The following is a 12,902-nucleotide window of genomic DNA, read 5'->3' on the forward strand; positions in this document are numbered from 1 at the left end:
AAAAGGATTGTGTATAGACTGTCCTGACTATATATTCTGATAATACATAGCACAGCTTTTGAAAAATGGAGAGAGGGCTGGCGCGGTGGCTCACGCCTGTAATCCCAGCACTTTGAGAGGCCAAGGGGGGGGCAGATCACAAGGTCAGGAGATCGAGACCATCCCGGCCAACATGGTGAAACTCCCGTCTCTACTAAAAATACAAAAATTAGCCGGGTGTGGTGGCACATGCCTGTAATCCCAGCTATTTGGGAGGCTGAGGCAGGAGAATCGCTTGAACCAGGGAGTCGTAGGCTGCGGTGAGCCAAGATCACGCCACTGCATTCCAGCCTGGCAACAGAGCGAGACTCTGTCTCAAAAAGAGAAAAAAAAAGAAAAAAAGAAAAATGGAGAGAGAATGGGAGAACATATGAAAAAGATTTATTTTAATGTTTTAAATAATCATATTGATAGTAAATTAGTATTTTAGTATTTTTATTCCATGTCTGTTGTGTGTGTACTATGGGATTCAGGAAATTATTAATTATGAGAAATTCTAATTATATAATTCCCTGTATTCTTGAGAACCAGGATTTGTGATAGAGAAGAAAGGAGTTACAGGTGTAATACAGAAGAAGTTAAATAAAATTGGGGTAGTTTTGAATTAGAAGTATCAGTATTGACTCATGAGCTATTTTGTTTTTAAATATATAATTCTGGCCAGGCAAAATGGCTCATGCCTGTAATCCCAGCACTTTAGGAGGCTGAGGAGGACAGAACACTTGATGTCAAGAGTTCAAGACCAGCCTGACCAACATGGTGAAACCCCATCTTCACTAAAAATACAAAAAATTAGCTGGGCGTTGTGGCACGTGTCTGTAGTCTCAGCTCCTTAGGAGGCTGAAGCAGGAGATTCCCCTGAACCCAGGAGGTGGAGGTTGCAGTAAGCAGAGATCATGCCACTGCACTCCAGCCTGGGTGACAGAGCAAGACTCAGTCTCAAAAAAATTGTGCATATGTGTACAACATATTTGAATATGTGTTCTAATACATCAGAATTAGAAACACTCAGAAGTGTGTGTGTATGTGAGTGTGTGTGTGTGTGTGTGTGTGTGAGAGAGAGAGAGTATTTAGCGCCACAGAAAAGAAACAATGACCTGTCTAGAGAAATGAGCTTTCCTAGTGCTGGTATTATGTATTCAAGTTCCACATCACACGACAAAGGACCAGGACTTCTTGCAGAAATGACTGAATGCAGGTCTGGTCCTGGAACATCTTGTCATATCAGAAAGCAGCAATGTTAAAGACTTCTAGCATCATGTCCAAAGGACTCAAGAACTAACCTAAAGAGGTTCGCACTAGCCAAAGTCAGAATAATTTGAAGCTACAGTAAAGATAATGTTTAAATTCGTGAGTACATAATAATATTGAAACAATAAAAAAGAACTAGTCACCCTCAGAGGATGACAGGAAACCAATTCATTATCTTGGAAACTGATGAATAAAGGAAGAATCTAGCATCTATCCCCGTTTCTATATGAACTGTACTGCTGGGTAACCAGATAGCAGTTGGAGAAGGATCTCCTTAGAACAGTATTACAACCATTAAATAACAAAACAATAAAAAAGATAGAATGTCACCATTTTGCATCCCCAGTGAATTATTAGATGTAGGCACTAAGCATCAACAACTGCTAACATCAATAAAAGAGACAACAGGGCTTTATATGCCTCCTATTGTCTTGCCAAACCAAGGGATCAAATCTGAATCTGATACAGTTTCTGGATCCAGCTGCCCAAATTTCTGGAAATACAGAAGGCAGAGAAATGCAGTGTACTGTGAGGATGTGAGCAGCAAACTCTAAGCTGAAGGAAGCTAAACCACTCAGGGAGAGCCCAGGTTCCCCAAGAGATTATCTCTACGGAAAAGAAAAGGATGAGAGGGAATTTACAGATTAAAAGAGACTTGAAGTCTTAAATTCTTTAACTCGGCAAAGCAATGCTGTAGTTTTATGGATACACCATTTGGTTGATAAAATTATTATTATTATTATTATTATTATTTTGAGATGGAGTCTTGCTCTGTTGCCCAGGCTGGAGTGCTGTGGTGCAATCTCAGCTCACTGCAACCTCCGCCTCCTGGGTTCAAGTGATTCTCCTGCCCCAGCCTCCCGAGTAGCTGGGATTACAGGTGCATGCCACCACACCTGGCTAATTTTTGTATTTTTAGTAGAGACAGGGTTTTACCATGTTGGCCAGGCTGGTCTCAAACTCCTGACTTCAGGTGATCTGCCCTCCTCAGCCTCCCAAAGTGCTGGGATTACAGGTGTGAGCCACCACACCTGGCCAAATAAAATTATTTTTAAAGGAACTAATAAGTATAGAAACCAGCACAGTGGTTACTTAAGAGATAAAAGAGGGTTTGTGATTGGGAAGAAGCAGACAGAGGTGCTTCTGGGAAGACTGGCAAAATTTTATTTCTGACTTGAATGATGTTTATCTTAAAATCATTCAGTAAGCCACACATTTGATTCATGTGGCTTTCTGTCTCTGGGCTTTCTTCACAATAAGAAGATTATTTTAAAACATAGATTTGAATACATGGCAATAATGCTACATAAGGTTGGAAGAAGGGCAAGTGGAATTAAAGTGGTCTAAAACCTTTCTATTGTCCTGGGAGAGGGCAAATGTACTGATTACCTTTAAATATACTTCATTGTAATGTGCATATTGTATACATGCAAATATATATAATTTCTAGAATAGCAACTAAAAGAATAGAAATAGAATATATAACTCTCAATGCAGTAGAAAAAATAAATGAAATAATAAAACTTATCCCACATTTTTAGGCAAGAAAGGAGAGAAAAAGAGGCATGGAGCAGGTATATTACGGGTTGAATTGAGTTCACCAAAAAGATATGTTGAAATCCAAAGCCCCAGTGTCTGTGAAAGTTACCTTATTTGGAAATAAGGTCTTTGCCAATGTAAAGATAAAGTCATGCTGAATTAAGGTGAGCCCTAACCTAATATGGCTGGTGTCCTTATAAGAAGAGAAGAGACAGACAAAGGGAAGGAGTCCATGTGACCACAGGGCCAGTGGAAGTGATGCAACTGCCTGCCAAGTGCACCAAGGATGGGTGGCCACCAGCAGAAGCTCGGAAGATGCAAGGAAGGATTCTATCCAGAGTTACAGAGGGAGCATGGCCCAGCTGACACCTTGATTTCAAACCTGTAGCCTCAAGAAATGTGGATAATGACCTTCTGTCATTTTAAGCCACCCCGTCTGCAACACTTTCTTATGGCAATGTGATGGGTAAGCTTATGTGTCAATGTGACTGAGCCCCAGGATGCTTAGATACTTGATGAAACATTATTCTGAATGTATCTGGGAAGGGATTTTTGGAAGAGATTAAATTTGATTTGGTAGACTGGGTAAAGCAGATTGCCTTCCTCATAGGAGTGAACCTCATCCAAGCCACTGAAGGCCTGAATGGAATGAAAAGATGAGTAGGAAAGAATGAGCTGGGACATTGGTTTTCTCCTGCCTTCAGACTGGAACTGACATCATCAGCTCTCCTGGGTCTCCAGTTTGCTGGAGTTTGGACTTCTCAGCCTTCATAATCACATGAGCCAATTTCTTATAGCAAATATCTTTGTCTATTATCTATCTATCCATCATCTATCTATCAATCAATCATTTACCTAATTGTCCTATTGGCATATGTATCCTATTGGTTCTGTTTCTCTGGAGACCCCAGGCTAATACAGCCATACCCGGGAAACTAATACAAGGTAGAACAATTGGAAAGCACAAAATAAAGTGCCAAATGTAACCAAATACAGGTGGTGGCTCATGCCTGTAATCCCTGCACTTTGGGAGGCCGAGGTGGGTGGATTAATTGAGGTCAGGAGTTCGAGACCAGCCTGGCCAACATGGTGAAACCCCATCTCTACTAAAAATATAAAAATTAGCCAGGCGTGGTGGTGCACGCCTGTAGTCCCAGCTACTCAGGAGGCTGAGACAGAAGAATTGCTTGAACCAGGAAGGCAGAGGTTTCAGTGAGCTGAGATAGTGCCACTGCACTTCAGGCTGGGTGACAGAGCCCTGTCTCAAAAACAAAAACAAAACAAAACAAAACAAACAAATGTAACCAAATATATCACAAAATGTAAATGGTTAAATGTTCCAGTTAAATGACAATGACAGGGTGATTTTTCAAAATTTCAACTATATGCTGTTTTCAAGAAAAACATCTAAAATAAAAGCCCACAAAAATTAAAATTAAAAGATTGAAGAAATCACAAAATGAAGCTGATGTGGCCACATTAGTATCAAACAACATATGCTTTATGGACAATAGTTTTAGCAGAGATAAGACAATCACTTCATGATAAAAGATTGAATTCAACAGGACTATATAATAATTTAAAATGTATATGTACCTAGTATCATTTCCTCAAAATACATCAAGTAAAAAATGACAAAATTAGGCCAGGTGCGGTGGCTCACGGCTGTAATCCCAGCACTTTGGGAGGCCGAGGTGGGTGGATCACCTGAGGTAAGGAGTTTGAGACGAGCTTGGCCAACATGGTGAAACCCTGTCACTACTAAAAGTGCAAAAATTAGCCTGGCATGATTGCGCATGCCTGAAATCCCAGCTGCTTGGGAGGCTGAGGCAGGAGAATCACTTGAACCCAGGAGGCAGAGGCTGCAGTGAGACGAGATTGCACCACTGCACTCCAGCCTAGGCGACAGAGCGAGAATCAGTCTCAAAAAAATAAAAGACAAAATTATACAGAGAAAGAGACAAACCCTCATCAATGTGGAGATTTTTAACAAAATCAATGAGTAGCTTAAAAAGATGTGGAATATTATCACATACTAAAAGGTTACACTATATAATATGTATGTTATATCCTATAATAATGCAAACATAAGGAAACCAAACAAATCTGTAGAACTGGCCCTTCTCTTACTCCTACTATAAGCTCTTAGCTGCATTGAAAGATAAAAACAATGATGAACTAATCAGATTAGAAGTGAAGTCCAAACAGTGTTATAATTGCCAAGTATAGTCTTTTAAATAAGGGTTCATATGAACTGTCCTTAATGATGAATGTTGCCCTAAGCGTGCACTGCACCTAGAGACACTTGCTGATAGTAAGATACAGTCACCAGGATTGCTTTGACACTTGAAAGCTAACCTTCACTTTTCAGGAAGGGACACTGGAGCCACTGGATATCCCCATTGTGGGAACTGGGGAGAACTGTGTTCCCCACCTAAAAAAATAATGCAAGATGGATACCAAACTTACATGTAATTTTTTTTTTTTTTTTTGAGACGGAGTCTCGCTCTGTCGCCCAGGCTGGAGTGCGGTGGCGCCATCTCGGCTCACTGCAAGCTCCACCTCCCCGGTTCACGCCATTCTCCTACCTCAGCCTCCCGAGTAGCTGGGACCACAGGTGCCCACCACCACACCTGGCTAATTTTTTGTATTTTTAGTAGAGATGGGGTTTCACCGTGTTAGCCAGGATGGTCTCGATCTCCTGACCTTGTGATCCACCCACCTTGGCCTCCCAAAGTGTTGGGATTACAGGCGTGAGCCACTGCGCCCGGCCAATCTCTCCAATTTTTCTAGCAATCTTGAAAGTAATGAAATATTCAGTCCATACCTTAAAACATTTCATTAAATGCAATGGTAAACATTTAGAAACCTCTTCTAAGGTTTTTGGCACAAAAGACCAAAACTCACATATCATTTGTGGATATTTGATCTTTTTTTCATGTAAAAATAGTATAAATAATGTATGGAAAAATAAAGACAAAATTAAAGAGAAAGTGAAATGCATTCATTTGTCCGAAGATACTGCTGAAGATTTGAAAATAAAAGTACTAGAAAAATAATGAGACATTTACGGTGTAGTTGTATAAAAGTACAGTGAGCTTTTCACACATATTAGTCTATGGTATTTGCTTGATTTTGTTTCACTGATAAAAAACAAATAATTTGATTGTTTGGAAGCTACTAAGGAAAAGATGTAGCAGAGAAGATATATTCTCAATAGTATATACTTTATCAAAGACAATGTTTGGTGGGAAAACAGTGTAAATGTAACTAACCACAGCACGGATGGCTGGGGTTTTTTGTTTTGTTTTGAGATGGAGTCTCACTCTGTCGCCCCAGGCTGGAGTGCAATGGCATGATCTTGGCTCACTACAACCTCCACCTCCCAGGTTCAAGCGATTCTTGTGCCTCAGCCTCCAGAGTAGCTGGGATTACAGGTGCCCACCACCACGCCCGGCTAATTTTTGTATTTTTAGTAGAGACTGGGTTTCACAAAACATGGTGGCCATACTGACCTCAAGTGATCCACCCGCCTCAGGCTCCCAAAGTGCTGGGACTACAGGTGTGAGCCACCACGGCCAGCCAGATGACTGTTTTGATTGCAATTTTCTTTTTATAAAAGGTCTGAGGTAGGCCAGGCGCGGTGGCTCACGCCTGTAATCCCAGCACTTTGGGAGGCCGAGGCAGGTGGATCACAAGGTCAGGAGATCAAGACCATCCTGGCTAACACGGTGAAATCCCATCTATACTAAAAAATACAAAAAGATTAGCCGGGCGTGCTGGCGGGCGCCTGTAGTCCCAGCTACTTGGGAGGCTGAGGCAGGAGAATGGCGTGAACCCGGGAGGCAGAGCTTGCAGTGAGCCAAGATCGCGCCCCTGCACTCCAGCCTGGGCAACTGAGAGAGACTCCACCTCAAAAAAAAAAAGAGGTCTGAGGTCAGATTTCAATCAAGACGATTCACTACATCATCCAGACGCAAAGTATTGCATAAGAGAACTGGAAGCCAAAAGCACACAAAGTGATGGAAGAAGTCATCAATGTGATTAATTTTATGAAAACAAGGTGTTTAAAATACAGTTAAATCTATATAGACTGTCATAATGCCAGGTGCTTAAACTAATGTCTTCTTTGACCAAAAAAAAAAAAAAAAAAAAAAAACAACAGCAGCAACAACAAAAACAACTGCTCTCGATTTCCTGACCTTTCCTGAGATGACAAGTGTTTTGTTTTTTTTTTCTTTTGTTTGTTTATGTGGGTGTGTGTGTGATGGAGTTTTACTCTTGTTGCCCAGGCTGGAGTGCAATGGCGGGATCTCGGTTCACCTCAACTTCCACCTCCCGGGTTCAAGCGATTCTCCTGCCTCAGTCTCCTGAGTAGCTGGGATCATAGGCGTGCGCCACCACGCCCGGTTAATTTTGTATTTTTAGTAGAGATGGGGTTTCTCCATGTTGGTCAGGCTGGTCTCGAACTCCTGACCTCAGGTGATCTGCTCGCCTCAGCCTTCCAAAGTGCTGGGATTACAGGCGTGAGCCACTGCACCCGGCCGACAAGTGGCTTTCAATAATACACATATATAGCAGGTAAAATAGAAGGAAGAAATGGGTTTCCTCTCTACCTTCAAGTAAAAGTGCTGCTTTGAATAATAAATTAGAAATGAACTACTTTTTAAAGAAACATGCTACAGAGAGATCATTGTGAAACAGATGTTTTTAGATGTTTCCAATATGTTGTTCTTTATTTTCTTACCAAAAAACAATGTGGGGCCACAATAAACTCTTCTATGTACCTATTTTAAAATTTAGAAACAAATTTTTTATTTTCCAAGTGAAAAAGGAAATATGTAGTTGAGGTGTGAACCCAATTATTAAAAGTATAAAACTGCATTGTTGTTGAATGGGGAGAGTTTTAGTTTTGCAAAAGATGAACAAGTTCTGAAGACTGATTGCACAGCAGTGAGAATGTACTTAACACTACTGAAGTGTGCACTTAAAAATGGTTAAGATGGGCCGGGCACGGGGGCTCACGCCTGTCATCCCAGCACTGTGGGAGGCAGAGGCGGGCGGATCACGAGGTCAGGAGATCGAGACCATCCTGGCTAACACGGTGAAACCCCGTCTCTACTGAAAATACAAAAAAATTAGCCGGGCGTGGTCGTGGGCGCCTGTAGTCCCAGCTACTCGGGAGGCTGAGGCAGGAAAAGGGCATGAACCCGGGAGGCGGAGCTTGCAGTGAGCCGAGATCGCACCACTGCACTCCAGCCTGGGTGGCAAAGCGAGACTCTGTCTCAAAAGAAAAAAAAAGTTAAGATGGTAAATTTTATGTTATGTGTACTTTACCAGACCTAAAACAATATAAAACTCTAATATGTTCCAAATTAGTTTTCAAGAGTAACTGATTAACATGAAAGGAAATGGAGAATCACTAACCAATCTCATTTAAAATTTTTTTTGATCAGTTGATGGCTGGAACCAAAAAAACAAAAAAAAGTCATGATTCACTAACTATGGCCAGTGATGCCTGTCTGCCAATTGGAATCAGGCATCTTTGAAAATTATATTATACAGCTCAACAGTTATTAAAACCAAGTATTCAAGGAAACTAAATTTAGACCAGGCTTCCACATTACACTATTACAGAGTGGCAAATCCATGAGACAATAATAAAATATTTTCAATCATATGGCCCTAAAATACCAATAATTAATCTAATACTTGTGATAAAGAATTTTTAGCTGGGCGAGGTGGCTCACGCCTGTAATCCCAGCACTTTGCGAGGCCAAGGTGGGCGGATCACAAGGTCAGGAGTTCGAGACCAGCCTGGCCAATATGGTGAAACCCCGTGTCTACTAAAAATACAAAAATATTAGCCAGGGTAGGGGGTGGTGGGCATCCGTAGTCCCAGCTACTAGGGAAGCTGAGGCAGGAGAATCACTTGAACCCAGGTGGCAGAGGTTGCAGTGGGCCGAGATTGCACCACTGCACTCCAGCCAGGTGACAGAGCGAGACTCCGTCTCAAAAAAAAAAAGAGAGAATTTTTAGTGTTAATTAATAAAATAAAAATTAACTCAAAATAGATTTATTTCATTTATTGCTCATTCTTTTAAAAGTCTATTTTGTGATGGTCTTTTATAGGCATATGTATTATTATTATGGTAGAATGTGATATACATTTGCATAAACACACACACACACACACACACACACACACACACACACAGGCTGCATCCTCAAAATACTCTCCTGATGGGAGTGCTCAGTGCAAACACTTTGAGCCCATCACCTGGTTCAACGGCCCACCATGCTTAGCTTGCTTCTTCTACATCCCAAGTGCTTGACCAGCTGATGCTCAAATGTATCCTATACCCAGGAATGGCTGCATCCCAGTGGCCTAGGGCTCTTAGAAGGAGCTGGGAGTTTCTGCCATGTACAAAATCAAAACCCACTTCCCTGGATGTTCTGCTCATTGCCTCCAGCCCCAGCCCTGCCCTTACAGCCCATGGTCCACACTGGTTCCTGCTTGACCCAGCTGCTCTTCAACACATTTGCAGATCATCCAAGTCTCAGACTTACCCTCTACTCTCACTCATTTTTTGGTCCTCTAACATCCCACTTCATTTTTAACAATACACTGAATTTCATCTGGGGCATTCCCTGAGAAGCCTTGTCCTGAGACGGGGCAGCCTGTGCCCAGGGGCTTGGTCTCTGTCCAGCCTCAGCGCCCCTAGGAAACTTGCATGTAATGTCCCAGGACTTCGGATCTTAAGCAAGGGACACAAAGATGTGGGATAGTTGGAGCTTATATTTTCCTCAGGGATCCTTCTAAAGGTCTTGTGTGTCTTAGTGTGACCCCCAAACACAAATAAATCTCCCGATTTCCTAGCCACCCGCATCTCCGTAACTGGCATCTCATTGGGCCAAGAACCTGGGAGTTCTTAAATTTCTCTCTTTCCCTTCATACTTTATCTAATCCACTAGTACTGTCAGTTCCACCTCCAAAGAATATCTAGGGTCTAGTTATTTCTTATTCCCTACTGGAACAGCTCCCTCAACCCCTATCACCTGTTGCTGAGACCCCCACCTGGGTGCCTCCTACCTGGGCTCTCTCCTGGGTGCTTCTCCACTTCATGTTCCACACGTGGACGTCAGAGAGATTCTTCCAGCATGTTGGCTGGGTGTAGTGGCTCATGCCTGTAGTCCCAGCACTTTGGGAGGCTGAGGTGGGCAGATTGCTTGAGCCCAGGAATTCAAGTCCAGCCTGGGCGATATGGTGAAACACCATGTCTACAAAAATGCAAAAATTAGCCAGACGTGATGGTGTGCACCTGTAGTTCCAGTTACTCAGGAGGCTGAGGTTGGAGGATGGCTTGAGCCCAGGGAGACAGAGATTGCAGTGAGCCATGATTGAGCCACTGCACTCCAATCTGGGCAACAGAGCCAGACCCTGTTTGGAAAAAAAAAAAAAGAAGGATTCTTTCAGCTTGTAAATCAAATCGGGTTAGGGTTATTCCCCTGTTCAAATCCTTCCAGTGGCTCACCATTTCACTCAAAATCCACAGCCCTCACTGTGGCCTGCTCAGTCGGCAGTAGCCACATGGATCTAACTGTTCCCATGACAGACAGAGCTTGTTCTAGCCCCCATTCTTTTGCTGGGGATGCTCGCCCCACAGAGATTCGCAAGGCTGCACCTTCTCTGCATTCAGGTATCTTTTCTGATCGCATCACTGGAAAGGACTTCCTGTCCCCTGCATCTGAAACAGAACCCCCCCCCCCCACCCATGCCCTGTGTGGCTCTGGGGCCCTCTTTCACCTTCATACATTCTTATCCCGCCTGCTGTTCTGTTACCTGTGGATGGGCTGTTGCTTGGCACCTAGTAGGCACACAGTAAATGTTTGGGGAAGGAAAGAACAGGGGATTCCTGCTGCCTGACCATCTGGAGCCATCTTGGTTCCTGTCCATTTCCTAAGCCATCAGGTTTGGTGAGTTCTGTTAGCCTCCCAATGAATGCCTTTCTTATGTAAGCTTGCCTGAGTCCATTTTTGACACTACTTTCCAGGAGCTCAAATTGATGCACCTCTTACAAACACACACGCTCCTTTCTTTCAGGTGTTCCTTATATTATCTCATCCTCTCTTGAGATGAGGGATCCATAGGAGTGGATCCAGCGACGAGCCACCACACCCTCGACAAAGATGTGGCAGGGTATGAGGCAAGGCAGACAAAGAGTGGCAATCCCGCTGACTTTAACTCCTACCCCCCACAACTCAACCACCAGCTCCTCTGGCCCAGCTAGCGTCATCTCTCATCTGGACCCCAGCAAGAACCTCCTACCCAATCAATCTCTTCTCATAATTCGGATCCTCTCTGGATCACTGTCCACACTGCAGCCAGAGGGGTGCTTCTATCCCTCTGTGAGCTGTGAGCCCTGTCACAGCAGTTCACATGGTTCTCGGCATGGTTCAAGTTCCGCCTGGCCCCCTCAGCCCCCCTGCTCCCCCTCCCCCCGGCACACACACCTCAGAGGAGCATGTCAGCTCCTCTGATCCCTCCTGGTTCTCAGACCCCTGCCCAATTTCTGCACCTTTGCCCCACCCTGGGATAGTGGGGCAGACACTGTGAGTGCCCTGGGACCTTGGTGGACAGCTCCGTGGTCCCAGCTGACAGCTCCGTCCCTCCAACACCTGCCTCTCTGCCTGAGAGTCCTCTGTGGCTACAGCCAGGCAGCCAGCTGGCTCAGGGTGCAAGTTGGAAGAGCTGTGGGATCAGTGTTCTCCTAAGAGCATCGGAATTTGGAGATAAGCACCTAGCTCCTCGCTTTGTGGGTGGGACGGTCCTTAATGCGTTTCACATGGTCCCTCAGGAGATCTCCAGCAGGCCTGAGCTTCCATTGCCCATGGCAGAGAGCCTCCCACTGATATTCCTTGCACTGACTCCCTTCCCTGTCTCCCTTCCCCATCCCCTGTCTGAGTTTACCTCCCAGATGAATTCCTCACACACAAACTCTGTCTCAGGGTAAGCTTTCCAGCAAAAGCTTTTTTTTTTTTTTTTTTTTTTTTTTTTTTTTGAGACAGGGTCTTGCTCTGTCACCCAGGCTGGAGTGTGGTGGCACGATCACCTCTCACTCTAGCCTTTACCTCCTGGGCTCAAGTGATCCTTCCACCTCAGCCTCCTGAGTAGCTGGGACCACAGGCACGTGCCACCATGCCCTGGCTAATTTTTTGTAGAGACAGGGACTTCCTCTGTTGCCTAGGCTGGTCTTGAACTCCTGGCCTCAAGTGATCCTCCCACCTTAGCCTCCCAAAGTGTTGGGATTACAGGCATCAGCCACAGCACCTGGCCAGCACCTCTCCTTCACAGCATTAAATATACTTTGTAATAATAAGCATTATAATTGCTTTTCAAATATCTGTCTCTCCAGTAGATTCTAAACTCCCTGAGAACAAAGTCCAGTCTTCTGCTCTTCGCTAAATTAATAGGCCCCAGCACCCTGCCTGGCACCTACTAACACTCAGTCACTACTTGATTCATGAAAAGTTGAATGACTTGAGCCGAGAACTAAGGCTGCTTTTATCTACTTCCTCTCTGTGAGATTTGCGGTGAGTGATCACATGACTTCTTTAAGCACCAATTCCTTCCGTGTAAAGTGAAGCTAATAAATAATGTTGACCACCCAGGGCTGACACAGGATTAAATGAAATCGTATACAAAAGAATTTAGTAGATGGTGAATGCTCAATACAGTCACGTGCTACATAACTTGTTAGTCAAGGATGGACTGCCTACAGGACGGTGACCCCATAAGATTATAATACATGCAGGCCAGGCGCGGCGGCTCACGCCTGTAATCCCAACACTTTGGGAGGCCCAGGAGGGCAGATCACTTGAGGTCAGGAGTTCAAGACCAGCCTGGACAATATGGTGAAACCCTGTCTCTACTGAAAATACAAAATTTAGCTGGGCATGGTGGCTGGCGCCTGTAATCCCAGCTAGTCGGGAGGCTGAGGTAGGAGAATCGCTTGAACTTGGGAGCAGAGGTTGCATGAGCCAAGATCACACCATTGCACTTCAGCCTGTGT

This window comes from Homo sapiens, chromosome 15 (assembly GCF_000001405.40).
Source record: "Homo sapiens chromosome 15, GRCh38.p14 Primary Assembly".
In the NCBI taxonomy this organism is placed as follows: domain Eukaryota; kingdom Metazoa; phylum Chordata; class Mammalia; order Primates; family Hominidae; genus Homo; species Homo sapiens.